Below are 22,503 nucleotides of genomic sequence, written 5' to 3' on the forward strand. Positions count from 1 at the left end.
TGTTTAAGAACTTAGGTATTCAAGGCCGAGGCAGGCAGATCACAAGGTCAGGAGATCGAGACCATCCTGACTTACATGGTGAAACCCCGTCTCTACTAAAAATACAGAAAATTACCTGGGCGCCTGTAGTTCCAGCTACTCAGGAGGCTGAGGCGGGAGAATGGCGTGAACCCTGGAGGTGGAGCTTGCAGTGAGCCGAGATCGCGCCACTGCATTCCAGCCTGGGCGACAGAGCGAGACTCTGTCTCAAAAAAAAAAAAAAAAAAAAAAAAAAAAAGAACTTAGGTATTGAAACTCTGGATTCAAATATTGACTTCTCCATTTACTAATGATGTCAGAGTGGTAGAAACTACCATATAGGGTTATTGTGAAAATTAAGTGAATTAATATGTGTAAAGCTCTTAGCTCGGTCCTTAGCACATAGGAAACTATGAATATTGATGATGATTATTTTTATGACGTTACTGTTAACTATTCTCTACCCCAAGAAGCAGGGCAGTTGTCTGGGGGCATACGTTGTCTGCATGTTGGATGTTTGTGATGCATGTTGTAATTCAAGGAGTATTTCCACAGCTTCTACTGAAAAAGCTTATTTTTATATTGATATATATATCATTCAAATAAGTATACAATGTATATGTAGTAAAATGAGGGCCTGTGTACCCATTATCTAGCTTAAGAAATAGAACAGTTCCTAGTATCTTAGTAGCTGTCTGTGTCTCCCTCCTAGAAGGATTATTTTTAATAATTATTGAGGCTGGGCGCAGTGGCTCACACCTGTAATCCCAGCACTTAAGGAGGCCGAGACAGGCAGATCACAAGATCAGGAGTTCGAGACCAGCCTGATCAACATGGTGAAACCCTGTCTCTACTAAAAATACAAAACTTAGCCGGGCATGGTGGCTGGCGCCTGTAATCCCAGCTACTCAGGAGGCTGAGGCAGGAGAATCACTTGAACCCAGGAGGTGGAGGTTGCAGTGAGCTGAGATCATGCCACTGCACTCCAGCCTGGGCGACAGAGTGAGACTCTGTCTCAAAAAACTAATAATTATTATTGGGGCCAGGCATGGTGGCTCGTTCCTGTAATCTCAGCACTTTGGGAGGCCAAGATGGAAGGATCATTTGTGCCCAGGAGTTCAAGACCAGCCTGGGCAACATAGGGAGGCCCTGTCTCTACTAAACAAACAAGCAAAAAGAAAAATTAGCCAGTTACGGTGGCTCACGCCTGTGGTCTCAGCTACTGGAGAGGCTGAGGTGGGAGGATGGCATGGGCCTAGAGGGTCGAGGATACGGTGAGCTGCGATTGCACCACTGCACTCCAGTCTGGGTAACAGAGTAAGACCCTGTCTCAAAAAAAAAAAAAATTATTGGGACTATTTAGGTTTTTAAAATTTTTTCCTATTTCAGTTTTGCTAAGCTGTGTTTTTTAAGGGACATGTCTGCTTTATATAATTTTTCAAATGTATTAACCTCAAGTATTTATATTATCTTTTTTTTTTTTTGAGATGGAGTCTAGTGGTGTTCCCAGGCTGGAGTGCAGTGGCACAGTCTCGGCTCACTTCAGCCTCCACCTCCTGGGTTCAAGCGATTCTCCTGCTTCAGCCTCCCAGTTAGCTGGGACTAGAGGTGTGTGCCACCGTGCCCAGCTAATGTTTGTATTTTTAGTAAAGGCAAGGTTTTAACATGTTGGCCGGGATGGTCTCAATCTCTTAACCTCGTGATCCGCCTGCCTCGGCCTCCCAAAGTGCTGGGATTACAGGCATGAGCCACCACGCCCAGCCTATAATATCTTTTAGTTATATTTTTTAAGTCTATAAGAAGTGTGGATATATTGTCCTTTTTAATTTCAATAGTGATAATTTGTGCCTTATCTTTTTTTTGTCTTGATCAGTTTTGCCAGAAGTTTGTTATTTTATTAGTCTTTTTCTAAGAACTACCTTTTGCTTTTATTAACAATTATAATTTTTGTTTTATGTTTTATTAATTTTCTTTTCTCTTGTCTGTAGTATTTCGTGCCACTCACTTCCATGGGCTAATTCTGTTCTTCCTCTTTCTGTTGTTGGATACTTAGCTCACAAATTTCCCTTTTCTGTTGTAATAATTTAAGGGTATAAATTGCCTACTGATACCATTTTAGCTGCATCCCACTAGTTTTGATTTATAGTCCTTTTGTTATTCAGTTCTAATAAGTATTTTCTAGTTTGTGTTGATTTATTTCATGTGTGAGTTGTTTACAGGGGTGTTTTACATTTCCAAATGTATGGCGTTTTTCTAATTAGCTTTTTATTGATTTCTAACTTAATTGTGTTGTGGTCCAATAATAATAGCCTCTATGGTACCAGTGTTGTTTTTGTTTTTTTGTTTTTTCAAATTGCTGAGACTTGCTTATGGCCTAGCATAAGGTCTTTTTGTTCTGGAAAATAGTGTATATTTTCCAGTTTTGGAGTTCTGCATAAATCCTTAAGATCAAGCTTTTTTATTATGCTGTTCAAAATTATTTGCATCCTGTATGAGTTTTTCTTTCTCCTACTGGATCTATCAGTTACTGAGGTATTCTTCCACTGTGATGGTGGATTTGTTTTTTTTCTTGGAGCTCTGTCAGTTTTTGCTTTGAGTGTTTTGAGGTAATGTTATTAGGTGCAAACAAGTTGAAAAGTGTCGTATCTTCCCATTCTATCAATTTGTATCAATGAGGTAATGGCCCTCTTTAGTACTGCTTTTTTGCCTTAAAGTCAGTCTGTGTTGTCTAATTTCAGCCACACCAGTCTTCTGTTGGCTACCATTTGTGTGCTGTAGAGTTTTTCTTTCTTTTCTTAAACTTCCCATTGTCCTGGTTTTAAATACATCTTTTTTTAACAGGCTGGAGCCGAGTTTTTCTTTAATCCCATCTGATCATTTTTGTGTTTTAAATGGAGAGTTTATTCCATTTACATTTATTGTAGTCACTGATAGATGTAGATCTATTTATGCCATCTTTTTATATGTTTTATGTTTGTCCTACTTCAGTTTTTTTTTTCTTTTTACCCCATTCTTTGGAGTTGATGGAGGATTCCTTTCCTTTCCCTTCCCCTTCATTCTTTCTCTTTTTCTTTCTTTCTTCCCTCCCTCCCTTTCCTTCCTCCCCTCTCTCCTTCCCTTTCCTCCCCTCCTTACCCTCCCTCCACCCTCTCTCCCTTGCTCTCTCCCTCCCTTGCTCTCTCCCTCTGTCCGCCTTCCCTCCCTCTCTTTCTTTTCTTAGACAGGGTCTTGCTTTGTTGCCCAGGCTGGAATACAGTGGTAAAATCATACATAGCTCACTGCAGCCTTCAACTCCTGGGCTCAAGTGATTGTCCTGCCTCAGTCTCCTGAGTAGCTAGGACTACAGGTGTGTGCCACCATGCCTGGCTAATATTTAAACTTTTTGTAGAGACCGGGTCTCACTATGTTGCCCAGACTGTTCTTGAACTCATGGTCTCAAGAGATCCTCCAGCCTCTGCCTCCCGAAGTGCTGGGATTATAGACATGAGCTACCACACCCTGCCAAGGTTTTTCTTTTTCCCCTCATTTGACTTTCCCCCTGAATTAGCTAGGAAGTTATAGTCTGTTATTTTAGTGATTTTTCTACCTGTTTTAACACAGATACACATTTTTGTTTGTTTGTTTTGGTTTTGGTTTTTTTCGAGACGGAGTCTCGCTCTGTTGCCCAGGCCGGAGTGCAGTGGTGTGATCTCGGCTTGCTGCAAGCTCTGCCTCCCAGGTTCAAGTGATTCTCCTGCCTCAAGCCTCCCAAGTAGCTGAGACTACAGGCGCCCGCCATCACGCTTGGCTAATTTTTTGTATTTTTAGTAGAGACGGGTTTTCACCGTGTTAGCCAGGGTGGTCTCGATCTCCTGACCTCGTGATCCACCTGCCTGGGCCTCCCAAAGTGCTGGGATTACAGGCATGAGCCACCGCGCCTGGCCAAATATACATGTTTTTATACCTTTTTTTTCTATTTTTTTTGAGGTGGAGTCTCGATCTGTCGCCCAGGCTCGAGTGCAGTGACACTATCTTGGCTCACCGCAGCCTCCACCTCCCAAGTTCAAGTGATTCTCATGCCTCTGCCTCTGGAGTAGCTGGGATTACAGGCACACGCCACCACATCTGGCTAATTTTTTGTATTTTTAGTAGTGATGGGGTTTCGCATTTTGCCCAGGCTGGTCTCGAACTCCTTAGCTCAGGCAGTCCACCCGCCTCAGCCTCCCAAAGTGCTAGGATTACAGGCATGAACCACTGTGCCCAGGGGCCTCATGTTTTTATACTTAATTTAACAAAATTTATAGCTTATTCTTATTTTTTGGAGGGTGTCGGGGGAATGGTCTCACCCTGTCACCCAGGCTGGAATGCCTCAGTGCAATCATGGCTCACTACAGCCTTGACCTCTCAGCCTCCCAAGTAGCTGGGACCACAGGTGCAAGCCACCACACCTGGCTAATTTTTTTTTTAATTTTTTTGTAGAGATGGTGTATTAGTCCATTTCATACTGCTACAAAGAACTGCTGGGTAATTTATAGAGGAAAGAGATTTAATTGACTTGCAGTTCAGCATGGCTGGAGAGGCCTCAGGAAACACAGTCATGGCAGAAAGTGAAGGGGAAGCAAGGCACCTTCTTCACAAGGCAGCAGGAAGGAAAAGGAACTTAGGAGAAGCTACTGAACACTTATAGAACCATCACTATCAGAACAGCATGGGGAAACTGCCCCCATGATTCATTTACCTCCACCTGGTGTCTCTGTTGACACATGGGGATTATGGGGATTATAATTCAAAATTAGATTTGGGTGGGGACACAAAGCCTAATCATATCAGACAATGTCTGATATGTTGCCCAGGCTGGTCTGAGACTCCTGGGCTCAAGCAGTCCCTCCGCCTCAGCCTTCCAAAGTGCTGCGATGACGGGTATGAGCCACTGCGTCTGGCCTCTTTATTCTCTTCTTGAACAACACAAAATCTTTAGAATATTTTAACTACCATCCAATATTTTAATAACTTTTCAAATGCCACAAAGTAGATATGATTATCATTCTACACAGTTAAAAATTTCATATTTACCCAGATGCTTGACAGAAACTGTTTACCCTTCCAAGTGGAATCACACTATCCTGTCAAAATAAAATTGTTTAGAATTTGTTTGGATGAGCATATGTTGGTGATAAGCATTCTCAGTTTTTATTTGGAATGTCTTCATGTTATTTATGCTCCTAAAAGATGGTTTCATTGAGTATGGAATTCTAGATTGACAGTTATTTTCTCTCAGCTCATGGAAGATATTATTCCACTGTTTTCTGGCATCCATTGTTGCTGTTGAGAAGTCAGCTGTCCATCTTATCATCTTCTTGTCTCCACGTAGGTGTCCTGTCTTCACTTAGGCTGCTTTAAGATTTTCTATTTATTGTGCTTAGGATGTGTTAGGCTTAGTGGTTCAAGATGTGTGCTCTTTGATGAATTTTGGAAAATTCTCAGCCATTATCTTTTCAAATACAGTTTCTTCCTCATTTTCTCATTTCCCTCACTCTGTCCTCTTCTTTTTATAAAATTGTTTTGTATTTCCTAACGCAGTCTATTGATAGTTATTTCCTTAATTTTATCTTACATTAATTCTGTGTCTTTTTAAATTTTGTTTATTGATTTTGTTTTTAGTTACACTGATTATTTTTCATTTTTAGAAGCCCTATTTAGTTTTTTCTCAACTGCCTAGTAATTTTATGTATAGTAGCTTTATTTATAGTATAAAGTATCATCTTTAGTTCCCTGGCTATATTATTTTCAAGATTCTCTTTCATGTCTTAAACATATTTAACACAGTTACATTTTACATCTGAAAATTTCAGTATCTGAAGTATTCGCATTCTGATTTTGCTTGTGTTTCCTAGGTCTTGCTGTTGGTACCTTGTTTCTTTTTTGTTTTTGACTGATATTCTTTGTAATATTATTTGGAGAATTATTTGAGGCTGGTTTTAAGTTACATTCCTACAGGAAGGGTGGGTGTATTTACTTCTCTACTAGTTGCCTAGGAGTGCTTCCAGCTGAAAGCACTATAAATTAACTTCTGTGTACCACACAGATATCATTAGTTTGGAACACAGACTTGTGTGAGGACCAGCTTGTAGTTAGAAGATCTAAGTTGTTTCTCATTTTTCATTTATCCTTACACTGAAGCTGGAGTCCTAGCTCTTTGCAAGGGCTCTAGTTGTGCTGTCTACCTTCAGTAGGCCTTACACATTATATTCTGTTATATGCACCCAACATAGCTTGTAAAGCTGAAGCAGAAACAGGCCAAAGGCCAGCTTTGTCATTCATTTCGTAAGGGTTCTGTTTTACTTCATTTTTAGTTGCTGAGTGTTACTTATTTATTCTGCTAAAATGGTGCCTTTAAATAAAATAGTTTCCTAAAAATACATTACATGGGCCGGGCGCGGTGGCTCATGCCTGTAATCCCAGCACATTGGAAGGCCGAGGCGGGCGAATCACTAGGTCAGGAGATCAAGACCATCCTGGCCAACATAGTGAAACCCCGTCTCTACCAAAAATACAAAACTTAGCTGGGTGTGGTGGCACGTGCCTGTAGTCCCAGCTACTCAGGAGGCTGAGGCAGGAGAATTGCTTGAACCCAGGAGTTAGAGGTTGCAGTGAGCCAAGGTTGCACCACTGCACTCCAGCTTGGCAATGGAGTGGGACTCCATTTCCAAAATATATATATATATATATATATATATATATATATATATATATATATATATATATATGTTACATGGTATTTTAGTTGTTGTCATCAGAAGCATCATTCATTTTTTTCTGAAACAGAAGTGGGCTTGTATACTTTATTCTGTATGTCATTGCTGATCCTTGAATTTAATTCTGGTATGTCACTAAGCCAGCAGTTAATTCAAGAACAGATGTTGATACCTATAGTTAATTCTGGATGATAGGGAGCTCTTATTTGTGCATTTGGCTTATCAGCGTACCTGGAGGTTGTGATTTTTTATTTTATGACTGCAGTGGCACTAAATTTTTATTATTCCCATCTGCCCCACTGCCACCACTAGTGCACCTAATTTAATTGATGGTATAGGAAATCATTTTTGTTAATAAAATGATCCATCATTACTGATCCTTGCAAGCAGTTTGCTTTAACAATGGACTTACCTTCCTTTCCAGCCTAATCACACGGATGCTACAGAGAGATCCCAAGAGAAGGGCTTCTTTAGAAGAGATTGAAAATCATCCTTGGCTTCAGGGAGTGGACCCTTCACCAGCTACAAAGTATAACATTCCCCTTGTGTCATACAAAAATCTCTCGGAAGAGGAGCACAACAGCATCATTCAGCGCATGGTGCTTGGGGACATAGCGGATCGAGACGCCATTGTAGAGTACGTCAATGCCCGTCAGTACAGAGGGCCACAGGTTTAGGATTCTTGGAATGGGCTCTCTCTACTTAACACAGCCTTTGGACACCTGTGTAATAGATAAGAGTTCCCAGTTGGCAAGAGTTGTGTCATTTATCTCTAAAGTTCTTGGCCCAGGGCCTGACACAGGTTTTTTTTGGTGTTTTGGTTTTTATGCTAGTGAACAAGTAAGCCATTGCTGGGTGGTTTCAGTGAGTGCTGTGGCCTTTTCCCCATTCTATAGGGGTGGAATGAAACAGCTTGTTTTGTATCCCAGTATGTACCTTATCTGTGGCACTATTCTCATTCCTCTGTCTCCTGCCGGTCCCCACAGTGATAGGGAGAACAGTACCACCTGCCTAGAGTCCTCTAAGTCAGGAGTTGGTAAATGCTGCTGGCCACACATTTTTATAAGTGAAGTTTTATTGGGCCACAGCCATGCCCATTCATTTAAGTATTGTCAGTGGTTGCACTGTGCTATAATGGCAGAGTGGTTGTGGGAGAGACCACTTGGCCTACAAAGCCTGAAATATTTATTATCTGGCCCTTGAGAGCCCCTGCTGCAGCCACCTGGAGCCTGCAAGTTATACAAGTTGTTAATTACATCCTTTAAAACCAAAGCCAGTTGTTTTTTTGTTTTTGTTTTTTTTTTTTGAGATGGAGTCTCGCTCTGTCGCTCAGGCTGGAGTGCAGTGGCACAATCTTGGCTCACTGCAAGCTCCGCCTCCCGGGTTCACGCCATTCTCCTGCCTCAGCCTCCCAAGTAGCTGGGACTACAGGTGCCTGCAACCACGCCCGGCTAATTTTTTCTATTTTTTAGTAGAGACGGAGTTTCACTGTGTTAGCCAGGATGGTCTCGATCTCCTGACCTCGTGATCCGCCCGCCTTGGCCTCCCAAAGTGCTGGGATTACAGGTGTGAGCCACTGTGCCCAGCCCCAAAGCCAGATTTTAATAAACAGTTTGGAATCAAAGATAATACAGAGGAAAGAGGCATTTGCTTTTTTCTGATAATGATTAATTTCTATAAGAGGTCCTGACTGTAAAAACAAGGAATATTTCCACAAATTAAAGGTCAGAAGTTATTTAATTTGTTGAATGAAACAGTTGGGTATGTTCGAAAGAGAGTATGCTCTAGGAGGCAAAAAAGGGGCTCCCATCAGGAGGGCCCTTTCAGGATTTGATCCAGTTCCCTGACTTCGGGGAAGAGAAGCCTGTTGGCTGGACCTGCAGACCCCTGCTGTGTGTCTTCGTGCCACACACATGCCCACTGGGAGGCTCTGATCCCTGAGAAGGGCAGTGTCTGTATAAAGGACACTTTAGAGTGTTTTACATTACTGGAAAGAAAGGTTTATAAAAATAAACCCAGGTTCTTAATTTTGGTTTAAGCACAATTTTCTATAAGTTTCCAAATGTATTATGGTTCTTTACAGTATTGACTCACAGCTACTTAAATGACCTAAACATGTGGTGGAGACGGGACACTTGCTGTTTCTGCTACAGACACTGACTTTTGGAATGTGTAGAAAATGATTTTTCACTTTTGAGTGGGTAAAAGGCTGTTTGTATCTCTCTGAATTGGCCTTACGTTCTTAGCTTAAATAAATACATATATACATGTAGTAGTGTCATCTAGAACTACTTAATATAAATTCAATTATAAATCCAAAAGGTAGTGCAATTTAAATGGTTCAGGTGACTCCAGTTTGCCAGTTTGTTGGTTTCCCGATAGCTGGGTGAGCGTCTTGCTGTCCTCTCAGCTAGCCTCACTCCGTGCTTGCTGCTCACATCATGAGAAGCTGCTTGTTCTGAGGGTGACTCCTGAGTTCCAACACACACCTTTCTCTCACAATACATTTCCAAACCCAAGCCAACTCCTGTATTTAGTACTTGGCTGAAGAAACTAATAAGTCATTCTACCCTTGAATTTCACCTTGGATACTTCCTTTGTAATCTCATGCCTCAGCCTGCCCTGCCCCCATTAGTTGTGACCCCAGTGTACATTTTGAAAAATGGTGTCTCTTGCTTCTTTCCTAAGTGTTCATTGTGTGAGTATTTTCAGTAACTACAGAAAGTTTCTGAAAACGTAGTTACGTATTTCCTGGCCTTGTGGAATCCGCCAAAGCCAAAGCACACTCCTAGTATGTATGTCCTGTGACAGGTCAGCTACAAGAGAGTGGGCAGGGCTGTGGGCCTTGGTGGGCCTTGTGTCCCAGCACCGTGTCTAGCCAGACTAGGTACTCGGTGAACATTACTTTTTAAACGGATCAATGACTACATTGATTTTATTCAAAGCAATTGATGGTGACATGCTTTCAATTTCTTTAATAATTCTGTAGTGCCTAAATTGCCAGTAAATGCAGAGGGAGTATGAAAATAAAAACATTTGCTAAGTTTTCTGACTGATATTAGTACTTCAGTGCACATTCATGTAACACAGACTTCGTCTTCATGTACTTCTAGTGGAAGCAAGTAAACCACCTGAACAAATACAAACACTGTACACACAAATTCAAATTTTGAATAATGCGTGCACTTATCTTATGTGTCTAAAACTGACGTCTAACTCAGCTGCTGTTGGCATTTTGGATTTTTCTCTCATTTACGAAAAATCTTCATAAAAATATGAACATTTTTATGCAGTTGTTTTTAGAACTTTGAGTGACCTAAATAACTACTAGTTTGGTTTTTTTCTGGTTTGCATTTTTTGCATAATTTTAAAGATTCCAGCCATTGAATTTAACTTGCTTGTACTTTTAAAAATCAATTCTGCTTCTTGTAAAAAAACCTCCTGATATGGCTGACGTTTGCTCTCACCTTGTTTTCCTCAGAGCCCTGGAAACCAACAGGTATAACCATATCACAGCCACATACTTCCTGCTGGCTGAAAGGATCCTGAGAGAAAAGCAAGAGAAAGAAATACAGACCAGATCTGCAAGCCCGAGCAATATCAAGGCCCAGTTTAGGTGAGAAAAAAATCTTCACTGATTTTAGTAAGTTTAACGTTTTGAAATAGCGAACTTTTTTTTTTTTTTTTAATGCTTCCTAACTCTTTGGGGCAAGAGAGTACAAACAGTGATGACGGCCTCATTGGAGAGGCCACACACGGGCTCTTCAGGTGTACATGAGGGTCTGGGTTCCCTCGTCACCAGGGATGCCGTCCCCTTCTGGGCTCAGTGGGGACCGGGGCTGTGTCTGTTGGCATGGTCAGGAAAACATGTTTGGAGAAGCAGCCTCAAGCCAGAGTGTCTTGCTAGTTATTTTCATTAAATTCTTCCAAATCCAACATGTATTAATCTGTTATTTTCTTTAGTTTTTCATTCTAGGAACAAGGCTGAATTTTCCCTCAGTTATTTGAAGTAATTTTTAAAACTAAATAGAGTATTGCTATGCCACAGTGTTCTCTCAGGATTTCCGGGATTGGATAGTCAACATTAGCTAGTTGATTTCTTAGCTGCTTGACCTTGGGAGGTTGCTTAACCTCTCTATGACTTAGCTACCCGATCTGTAAAACAAAAGTAACAATGCTATTTACCTCATGGGGTTGTGGAGAGGAATGATGAATTAATATATGTAAAGCACTTAGAACCAGGGCTTTGTGTGTTTGCCATCACTGCTGGGAATATTTTACCACCATTGTCTTCAATAAAGTCATGAACGTGCTGCTCCCCAAGCCTTTTCTAACCCCCTCTCTCCTCCTCCTCCTCTCCCCCAGCCTTCCCACTTTGCTTTTCTGCCAGAGTAACTTTCCACTTAAAATCAAAGCATGGAAAGGGCTTACTTTTTTCATTATCATCATGAAATTTATTTCGAGTTTATGCACTCAGATAAAGTAACCCATGGAACTGTAGTTCGAAAACAGAAGAGTGCTGCTGATTCTGAGTAAATCTGTGTGTACCTCCAAGTATTTATGAATATATGTGTGTGAATATTATTGTGAATAATAATATTATGATTGTAAAAGATTAAGAAAGCCATTTCGATTTTAAGTTACTTGCAGTTGGCTCGCCATGTGAACTTTGTTGCTTGGGTGGAATGGCAGAGTAGGGGGAGGAAAACATTCCCAGCTTGCCAAACAGTAAAGATTTAGAAGTCTAGTTTAACTAGAACATGAATTTAGTAACTTTATTCATATCTTGGATGCATTCCTCTGTAATAAAAACTAGGCACACTGTCTAGTGTCTGCTTAGAAGAGGACTGAACCCAGGGAGTGAGGAAATTCTTGGGGATGAGATAAACCAGAGACTGATGCTCAGAGGTTACGGTCAACCTAGTCCTGACCTGAGCTCCCTGGCAAGAAAGAGTAACCCCAAGGCAGATCATCACTACTCGCCAGGTGCACCGAGACTGGAGCTACCACCAGGCTTCTGGAAGAGAATATTTAGATTTGAACTCTCTTCTATTCAGTGAAACATACCAGAACTCAGTCTAAAGCTGATTGTATATGTGAGACCAACATTAGCTATAAAGAAATAGTAGGCCAGGCACAGTGGTTCAACCCTTTGGGAGGCCAAGGTGGGAAGATCCTTTGAGCCCAGGAGTTCATGACTAGCCTGGGCAACATAGACCCTGTCTCTATAAAAATTAAAAATAAAAAAAATTTAAAAATACCAGAGCTTTCTGAACTGTTTTCCTTTTGCTGTCATGGAGACTCTGAAGTGGAGAAGCTATGAGCACCTTTTTTTCTATGGCACAGGGCCCACTGGCAGTGGCAGTGTCTCCTGACTTGCCTTCTCTTTGTTGTCACTGTAACGTTATCGACAAGACCCTGGACCTCCCTTGGTTCCATTGCTGGGTATGCCTTGTGGTCAGAATGACCTAGGAGGTAGAAACCTGGACTGAGTCAGGAGACTGTATTTAAAATGGCAACTAGCTGGGCAGGGATGGAGGAAGAAGGGTCAGGCCAGTGAGAACCACAGCCACAGAGAACAGATACATGCTCTGTGGCCAGTGGGTAGTCTGGAAGAATTTGTGACAGGCCAGTTGAGATGAGTGGTTAACAGGAGACTGATATCCAGTCTCCTAGCCGGGCTGGGTGTCTTCACAAGCAGTTCGGTAGGCAGAAAGAAACAGGGATTTGGCCTGCAGGTTCTGGAGTCCAGGGGCAGGGTCCTAGACCTGGAATTGAGGGAGAACACAGGGACTCCACTAGAGAATGAAGTCCCAGATGCCATCTCAAGAATGTAGGTATAAGATGTGGCTTAGCTGAAAGGAGTGGTGTTGGTACAGATAGGATCCTGCAGCAGTGAGGTGGTGTGGTATTGGGAGTTGTCAAATCAAGTAGCTTAAGGTTTCTTAAATTCTAGAACAGATTCTGTTTCAGATATAGTAGCACTAACTTTGTTAAAAATATGAATAATTGTAGGGCTGCCCCAGTACATTCGTATGGAAGAACATGAGGTCTGAGAGAAGGGCCTAGGCATTTAGAATTATTTCTAATTGAGAACTCTTAGGACTGACTGTGTCCGGGGCCTGTCTGCAGACTCCGGAGACTCTTCCTCCAGCCTGCCCTGTAGAGCCGAGGACAGCACTGTTGGAACTCTCTAGGGAGGAGCCAGATAGCAGGGTAGGCATCTCATAGACTGCACCCAGATAGTTCTGGAATGGAAAACCAAGAAGTTAACCCATAAGCAGGACGTGGCCACACAGTGTTAGTCATTGTTCGGTTATGACCACTTCAGAGAATACTGCTTCTTAGCTTCAAATTTAAATTTTTTTTTAATGACAGGTTTATTTTATTAAAGGGGAACCTGTGCAAAACAAAAGAAAACTTGCACATAGCAAGTCTAGTAGATATTCCACATACAGTGGCCACTGGTAAAATTTTGTTCCTGCTTTATTATTATAACTATATGACTATACCCCCCTGGGGAGAGAGGATAGTTGACAGTTCAGAGACGTTTATTCAGAATAGCAGCTAGAGAGCCTCATTTAAAAAATTCATCTTCTTTGGGTACCAAGCAGTATTCTTGTTACTTTGGCAACTCCAGCTCCAGGTTGGGAGATAAAATGAAAGTTTAAATAATGGTGAATTTTGTTATTCACTACTCTTGTATGGGCATTTAAAAATATACTTATTTAAGGCTGGCACGGTGGTGTGCGCCTATAGTCCCAGCTATTCGAGAGGCTGAAGTGGGAGGGTTGCTTGATATCCCAGGGGGTCAAGGCTGTAGTGAGCTGCATTCATGCCCTTGCACTCCAGCCTGAATAACAAAGAGTGAGACCCTGTCTCAAAAGCCAGATATTTATATTTAACTTAGTTTTTTTTAATTGGAGAAGAGATTTTTATATGTTTTTGTATGATGTATACGTGTTATAACTTTTTTAAAATTCAGATCCATTAAACTGTTTCCATTTCATTTTATAAACACCAAGTTCTTACCCCATGGTAAAATCAGGAGCCCTGGAAATTTCAGGTGAATTTTATTTGTAGTAATATACCTTTATGTGATCTAAGAACCAAAGAAACAAGACGTGGTGTTCAGGTTTTGCTTTGCCAATAACCTCCATGGGCTTCTAAAAAATGTTTAGTATAAAGCTTTTGTATAGAAAAGATGGAGTAGCTCTTTGCCCTATTTTCTTTTCTGACACCTGTGATGAAGTTTTCACTTGGCCAATAAGCCACAAACTGAACCATGTTTCAAAACCACATTTGCCCTTCTGGTGGCCTTGCTGATGTTTACAGGATGTTGAATGGGTTTGCAAGGCTGCTGCTTTTTTCTTTAAGTCTGTAGATTTTGTCCCAGTAAGTTCATTGTGATGTACTTTACTATCATCTGCATAATGATTATATGGCTTTTTTCCCCCCAATCTATCTGTTACATAGGCAGTCATGGCCAACCAAAATTGATGTACCCCAGGACCTTGAGGATGACCTCACGGCCACTCCTTTGTCCCACGCGACTGTCCCTCAGTCTCCTGCTCGGGCTGCTGACAGTGTCCTCAATGGCCACAGGAGCAAAGGCCTGTGTGACTCAGCTAAGAAAGATGACCTCCCTGAGTTGGCTGGACCAGCACTCTCTACGGTGCCACCCGCAAGCTTAAAACCCACAGCCAGTGGGCGGAAGTGTCTGTTCAGGGTGGAAGAAGATGAAGAGGAAGATGAGGAGGACAAGAAACCCATGTCCCTCTCAACACAAGTGGTTTTGCGCCGGAAGCCATCTGTAACCAACCGCCTGACATCCAGGAAGAGTGCGCCCGTCCTCAACCAGATCTTTGAGGAAGGGGAATCTGACGATGAGTTTGACATGGATGAGAATCTGCCTCCCAAGTTGAGCAGGTTAAAGATGAATATAGCTTCTCCAGGTACAGTTCACAAACGCTACCACCGGAGGAAAAGTCAGGGCCGGGGCTCCAGCTGCAGTAGTTCGGAGACCAGTGATGATGATTCTGAAAGCCGGCGGCGGCTCGATAAAGATAGCGGGTTCACCTACTCCTGGCACCGACGGGATAGCAGCGAGGGGCCCCCTGGCAGTGAGGGGGATGGCGGGGGCCAGAGCAAGCCAAGCAATGCCAGTGGAGGGGTGGACAAGGCCAGCCCCAGTGAGAACAATGCTGGTGGGGGCAGTCCCTCCAGCGGCTCGGGTGGCAACCCCACCAATACATCGGGTACCACACGCCGCTGTGCCGGCCCCAGCAACTCCATGCAGCTGGCCTCTCGCAGTGCTGGGGAGCTCGTTGAGAGCCTCAAACTCATGAGCCTCTGCCTCGGCTCCCAGCTTCATGGGAGCACCAAGTACATTATTGATCCACAGAATGGCTTGTCATTTTCCAGTGTGAAAGTCCAAGAGAAATCTACGTGGAAAATGTGCATTAGCTCCACAGGGAATGCAGGGCAGGTCCCTGCAGTGGGCGGCATAAAGTTTTTCTCTGACCACATGGCAGATACCACCACTGAATTGGAACGGATAAAGAGCAAGAACCTGAAAAATAACGTGCTGCAGCTACCTCTGTGCGAAAAGACCATCTCTGTGAACATCCAGCGGAACCCTAAGGAGGGGCTGCTGTGCGCATCCAGCCCAGCCAGCTGTTGCCATGTCATCTGACTGTGGCCCCATCTGGCCGCTAGCACGCTTCCTGCTCAGAGCAGTGAAGACCGGCTCACTTCACTGTTCCATTTGGTTTTACTATTTTAAAGTGGGCGTTAGGAGCAATTATTTATTACCTTTCCATTTGTTCGCCTGATGATGTGACAATGCATGGTCTTTGTGCATGCTGCTAGACACTTTTCTTTCCCAGCCGAAAAGCCTATTATGTAATTTTTACATTCATAATTTTAATGTGGATGATCAGGATTAAATCAAGATATATATCTGGAACCTCTTATAAATGGAGCACTTAGAAATTTGTTGTTCTGCACTTAACCTAGAGAGAGAAAAAATGCTTTTCTTTGTGAAAAATCTGAATTCCTGTCCTGACCTTCTGTGATGTGGAAACCCTAGGCTCTGAGACACACTCTCTGGTGTCTGAGACAGAACCAAAGCAATAACGTTGTGATGCCCACAGGCCTGGAGCCAGCTAGCGACCTTGTGCCGCCCAGCTGTCCATGGCCCGTGCAGAGCAGAGGACAGTGAGTGTCTGCACTGAGAACCTTAAACCACAGTTGAACATACCCACACCTGTTTGTCTTAAGCTATAGTGTAAAAACAAAGTTTGGGCTCTGAAAATTTAACTGAAAAAGATTTCCTTGTTTTTGTAATAGGTGAGATAAAGTACTTAGATTTATAAGGCAGCTTCCCCTGTAGTGATAAATTACAAGCAGACAATCTTATTTTGTAATGTGATGAAGTGATGATGTCTTAACTCTACTTAGAGAGTGTATGTCTGTCTAACAGAACAAAAAGATGCTCTGTGTAAATTCCTTCCTGTAGGGCACACTGCAGGATTTCCATGTAGATAGAAGAACTATAGGGCCTAGTACAGAAGGTGCACACAAATGTTGGCAAAGTCAAAACCCCATGAATTAAAACCTACTGGAATTTGGTTTTTAGGAGTTTGGTAATTAGATTATCTCTTTTGTTATTTTCATTCAGTTATATCCTTTGGCTCAGCTAGCTTTGAAATTGGCTGATGAAAAAATATACATAAAAGGGTAAAATTCACACATACAGCAAACAAAAATGCACAAAGCCTGCTTCGTAACTTTTTTTTCTGGAATTGTTTTTCACTTTGCCTTTTTCTGCCAAAACAATAATCAAAGAACTCTTGCTTTAACCTATTCCTGTACAAAGACTGTTTTTGACCAGATAATCATCTGTTGTGGCATTCTATCTTGTAGGACACTGTATATTGCAAATTGCTGATTATGGAAGGGGCCAGTTGCTGTTTTTTCATGCAGTGCCCTGGGAGTCTTAAAAGCAGTGCTTAGCAACATTGGTGATAGCATGTGGCTGGGACCCAGGGCCCTTCCCCACTCTTCAGCCCCGAGTCATGTGTCTGAGGTGACGGACTGAGACGCATCTGGTCCTGTAATTCAGAGAGTGGGCACATCACCAAAGAACTGCATTGCTGTGGTCACTGTTTCTTCAAGTACACACTGACTCTGCTACTTTAGGATAAATATATTTTACTCAGAACTCTGAATTTCACAGTATACTTACTAAACTAAGTAAAAATGATACTTAAAATACTTATTTTACTTTCTAGACCTAGGCTAGATGTTTTAAGCTACAGCTCTAGTTCATTGTGATATTTATAATTTGAAAGCTATGAGAATAGATGTGTGGGTGAAGCCATAGAACATATTTGCTTGAAATTCTTGAGCAGGGATCTTATAAAGGGCCAGAAATAAGATGTGTGGTTCACATAGATAGTGAGCGTAACATCTGTATTAAACATAGGAGAGAAGTTTATAAAGGGCATTGGCAATAAACTCTTTGTTGCAGCTGTTTTCCAAGCAGTGTAAATACTTTTTCCTGTGATTATGTATAGCCTTGGAATGGCACCTTTTAACTAACCCATATGTGTTTGGTTTCAATGGTTTTTTATATTCAGATGTATATATGGTGCTCACTTTAGGATCAGCAGTGTTGACCATTTATGCTGCATAGCTGTATTATAGCCTTATTAGTTGTGTGGTTGACCCTTGGGGTATACAAATGTCAGTCTGAGTGGTGTCTTACTCCTTTGTTTATAAGTGAATGATTGTGCATGTTTTGTATGTCATAGTATGTCGTCACATAAAAGGGAGGGAGCGAAAAACCATTACATTAAGATAATATTGGACCAAACTACTTACTTGCTCTAAACAGTTACTTGTACCCCTTAACCTGTCTTCAAAAGTTGCATATAGTTACAGTAGTGTATAAATTAAATATTGTGGAAAAACAGTCTTGTATTTTTCTGTATGTGTGTATATATATATAATTATGTACTTCTGGCAATTCTATCTGTATTTAAAGATGTGACAATCTTGACACCAATTTTAAGAATAGCTGTGAGACCGAATTAAAGATAATCCCTACCAAGTGAAAATTGATGTGTGTTAAGAGGGTACAGAATTATCAACTGATTTGGTCAGTTGCTTCCAATGCTGGTTGATTTCCCTCATTGTGTAAACATTGACAGGTATGTGACAAATGGGAAAAAAAATCCAAATAATAAAGTGACATATTGGTGTTCAGCAATATAAACCGTGTCCTGTGTTGTATTGCTTCTCATGAGTGTAGCTTTGTGTGATCCCACCTCAGTTAGACCCAGCCTTCTCCATGCCCTGTGCCTGCACCACCAGATTTGGCTGAAAAAGTACAGTCATTATTATGTTTAAACTCATGGCTACAAATCATAGGTGGGGCCAGGGTGCCCATTAAGTATACTTACTTTATTTCTCTATTTCATCTCCTTTCCTCACTCTGCTGGTCACCATGCTGCCTAATTGAATAAAGGGAAGCAATGAGAACTGCCACAAGTTCCCACCTCTGCCTTCCTCCCTTCCTTCATACACATTCACATGCTCTGCCCTTCCTCCTGTTACTGTGATTCCAAGGTCAGCTACTCTTACTCAGTTCTCACAACCATTACCATAATTGACTTTTACAACCCCCCCCCGCCCGCCAAAGAAATCTTGTGCCCTTTGGCATACTTTACCTTGTCCGCAACTCCCTTTACTCCAGCCTCATGCAACCACTTCCTGTGATCAATTTTCAATCCCATGTTAGAATTTGATGAATTGCTCACTTTCTTCCTTATGAACTTCCCATCTTTCAGTATCTCACTTCTGCCTTGCTGCTCTTCATGTCCACTGGTCCTTCCTCATTCTTCCAACCTCTAAATTTGGAATGTCCCAATGTTCAATTCTGGACCCCTGCTCTATCTGCAGTGACTCCTGATCTCAGTTAGTCTAGTATCTATATGCTGATAGAAGCCCAAAATATATTTAGCCCACATACCCTGGGAACACTGGATTTCAACTATCTATTTGACTTTTCTTCTTGGATGTGTCTGTGTGTCTACAGCATCTCAATTTTTACAAGTTCAAAACCCCTAATCTTTCCCCTCAAATCCTTTTACTAGCGCACCCATCTTAATAAATATCAACTCCTAGCCTTCAATAGTTTCATTCAAGCTGAAAATCTTGGTGTCATCCACTTTTTCATCCCAACATTCAGTTTATGAGCAAATCTTAACTTGCCTTTCACAGTTGACTCCTTCTCATTGCCACCACCACTACCACTCTAGTCCATGACACTCAACTGTAAATGCCTCTTAAAGGGTTTCCCTGCATTTGCCCTTGTCTTTCTCATTTATTTTCCACTTAGCAGTATGAGAGATCATTTTAAAGGCTAAATCATACCATGTTTTGAAACGTGTTTAGTTTCCAAATATTTGGGGTTTTCCCACATAGGTTTCTATAATTTTTAGTTTAATTCTATTTTTATCAGTGCATGCTTTCTATAGTTTAAATCTTTTGAAATTACTGAAACTTGTTTTATGGCCCAACATACGACCTATCTTGGTGAATGTTTCCTGAGTGCTTGGAAAGTGCTATTGGTGGAGTGTCCTATACATGTCAGTTCGTTCAAGTTGGTTGATAATGTTCAAGTTTTCTATATTCTTACTGATTTTCTGTCTCAATTATTGAGAGAGGAGTGTTGAAATCTCCAACTATAGTTGTGGATTTGTCTATTTCTCCTTTTAGTTCTAGCAGTGTTATTTTAGAAAATTTGAAGCTCTGTTGTTTGGTACATAAGCATTTAAGATTGTTACGTCATATCAATGAATTGATCCCTTTCCTCATGAAATGTTCCTTCTTTATGACTGGTAAACTATTTGTTCTGAAATCTACTTTGTGTGATAGTGATACAGTAACTCCAGCTTTTTTTTGACTTGTGAGAATATATCTTTTTCCATTCTTTACTGTTAACCTATTGTGTCTTTATGTTTAAAGTTTGTTTTTTGCAGATATCATATAGTTCGAGCTTGCTTTCTTATCCCATCAGCAAATGTCTGTCTTTGATTGAGGGTTTAGATGTATTACATTTAGTGTAATTGTCAATATGGTTGAGTTTAAACCTACCTAGTTTTCTATTTGTCTCGTCTGTTCTTTTTCCCTCTTTTGCTACCTTGTTTTGGTTTAACTGAGCACCTTTTGTTACTCCATTTTATCTCCGCTATTGGCTTATTGGCTGTAACTCTTGTTTTTCAGGGGGTGCTATAAGATTTGCAATACATGTATTTTATTATATCACAGTCTATCTTAATATATCACTTCATGTAGAATATAAAAACCTTACAACTGTATGCCTCTATTTTCCTCTTCCTGTTCCTTATACTACTGTTGTCATACATTTTATTTTTGTATATGTATAAATATTGTTTTAACTAGTTTTTAAGGGATTAAACAGGGGGGGGGGGAGTATTTTAGCTACATATTTGTCATTTGCAGCACTCTTCATTTCTTTGTGTAGATCCACAGTTTGGTTTTCCTTCTGCCTGTAGAACATTCTTTAACATTTCATATAATGCAGATCTGCTGGCATTACATTCTGTCAGCTTTTGTTTTGAAAAATTACTTTTCCTTTATGAAAGATATTATCATTGGGTATAAAAATTCTTGATTCATTTTTATTGCAATGCTGGACACTGAATTTTGCATTGTTGAATGCTGGAATTTTTTGTATTCGTGTGAGAAGTATTGGATTTCATTTTGGACTGCAGTTATTTAAAATCATTGGATCCTTCATGTCTCACTTTTAAACTGTTAGGGCAGATCCTGAGCAGTCTTCAGTCTAGGGCTAATTTGGCCCACTACTGAGGCAATACCTCTCTAGGGACTCTATTGAGGCTTTTCTACTCTGGCTGGTAGGAACATGAACTATTACCAGCCTTGGGTAAGTTCTGAGCATTGTTCAGCCTGCTGCTTTCCAGTGGTTCTTTCTCCAGCCTCAGGTAGTTTTCTCATAAGTACTGATCAGTACTCAACCAAAGACCACAGATTTTCTTTTGGAGCTTGCTCACTATCTGTGCAGCTCCCTCCTCTCTGCCCTGCACATTGATCTTGAACTTCAAACTACCTGCTCAACTCAACCAGACTATTTGGGCTTTCCCTCTCTGTGTTCTGGCAACTGCCTTTGGGCAGTGAGCTGGGGCATTCAACTCAGGGCTCACCTCATTTGCCTCCCTTCTCTCGGGGTGACAGCCCTATGCTGTCTGTTGCTCAATGTCTGGAAACTATTGCTCCATATATTTTGTTTGGTTTCCTAGTTGTTTAAGGCAAGAGGGTCAATCAAATTCCTCTAATTCTATCCTGGCCAGAAACAGCAGTCTAAATAGTGGGTCACTCCCCTGCTCAAAATCCTTCCATGGCTTTCCATCTCAGATTTAAAAGTTTAATCCTTGTGTGGTGGCCCACAAGGCCCTAGTGTGTCCTCTGCCCCAGTTATCACATCTGCTCCTCTCAACTTGCTCATTCAGCTCTGGCTGCAATAACCTCCTTGCTAGTCCTTGAACAGGCCAAACACAGGAGATGTCACACTTCGGGTGGTTATCAATCCATGGCCCTTCTGCCCCCTACAGCTGCTCAGCAGGGACGAGGTTTCTCAGACTTCTGGGATCTGGGGAGAGACAGATGAGAAGGGGAAATAGGATGTAGCCCTTTTTGAGCTATTAGGGCCTAAGGACATTGTGACTACCAGGGAGAGAGTCATATTTTTCAGGACGTCTGAATCCAGGACTAAGCACTTGCTGGACACCTCACTCTGAGCAAGGTGTTACAGATTGGCAAGTCGTCAGAAGAGAAAAAAATGAATCGTGGTTCTTGCCAGTTCATAATGCCCTTGGAGAAGAAAATGGTGATTTAAATTAGCACAAGTTGATGGATCAGAGGTGGTGATGTGTCTGCACAGCACCGCTATCAGGGTCAGGGAATTCGAAGAAGGGCGAAGCAGGGAGGAAGAATGCAGAGAGTGGAGAACTGAAGAGTGTGAGCAGGGCTCCAATCATCTGGAGGTCCCTGTGTGAGCCACAGGAGGTAGCAGTGGACTTTGCTGAGACAGCATTCATTTTGCTTCTTGATTCCTTTATCCTTTTACAAGGACTCCAAGGTTTCTGGATTAGAAGATGAAAAGAGTGGGGGTTAGGGTGGGGCCACTGGTAGAAACAGTCACTAAGGGGAACACCAGCATGAAGGTGGAAACAAGACTGAGTCAATGTCCTGCTGGCAGAGCTGGCTTCATGTGTGTATGTGACCTTTATACTCATTTGGGGGGCACCACACTTAGAAGAGTCCCACACTAAGTTTGATGCTCTGCTGTTGTTTTAAAATTCATTGCCACATGGCACATACTCTAAAATTGATCACACAGTTGGACATAAAACAATCGTCAGCAAATGCAAAAGAAGTGAAAACATACCAATGACTCTCTTGGACCATGGTGCAATAAAATTAGAAATCAAGACTAAGAAAATTGTTCAAAACCATAAGATTATACATGGAAATTAAATAACCTGCTCCTGAATGACTTTTGGATAAATAATAATGAAATTTAGGCAGAAATTAAGAAAGCTACCAGAAGACAAGAAATAACCAAAATCAGAGCTGAACTGAAGGAGATTGAGACACGAAAAACCATTCAAAAGATCGAATCCAGGCATTGTTTCTTTGG

General features: G+C 41.5%; 1 protein-coding gene and 1 long non-coding RNA gene across 8 annotated transcripts in view; one reads left to right on the forward strand and one right to left on the reverse strand.

Moving 5' to 3' along the window:
• The window catches only part of SNRK (SNF related kinase), a 64,604-nt gene extending 46,571 nt beyond the window's left edge, over positions 1-18,033 (forward strand). For all 7 annotated transcript variants that reach the window (XM_047448396.1, XM_005265245.4, NM_017719.5 and 4 more), the window contains 3 exons: positions 7,177-7,389; positions 10,234-10,368; positions 14,229-18,033. In XM_047448396.1, coding sequence (XP_047304352.1) covers positions 7,177-7,389; positions 10,234-10,368; positions 14,229-15,447 — 1,567 coding nt within the window. In that variant the 3' untranslated portion in view covers positions 15,448-18,033. The remainder of the gene's footprint in view (positions 1-7,176; positions 7,390-10,233; positions 10,369-14,228) is intronic.
• On the reverse strand, positions 13,809-18,852 carry SNRK-AS1 (SNRK antisense RNA 1). The gene is made up of 3 exons (NR_046757.1): positions 18,488-18,852; positions 18,221-18,271; positions 13,809-16,867 (listed from the first exon to the last, which is right to left on the reverse strand). It is a non-coding gene; the product is annotated as an SNRK antisense RNA 1 (long non-coding RNA).
• Between the last annotated feature and the right edge of the window lie 3,651 nt (positions 18,853-22,503).

This window comes from Homo sapiens, chromosome 3, assembly GCF_000001405.40.
Source record: "Homo sapiens chromosome 3, GRCh38.p14 Primary Assembly".
In the NCBI taxonomy this organism is placed as follows: Eukaryota; Metazoa; Chordata; class Mammalia; order Primates; family Hominidae; genus Homo; species Homo sapiens.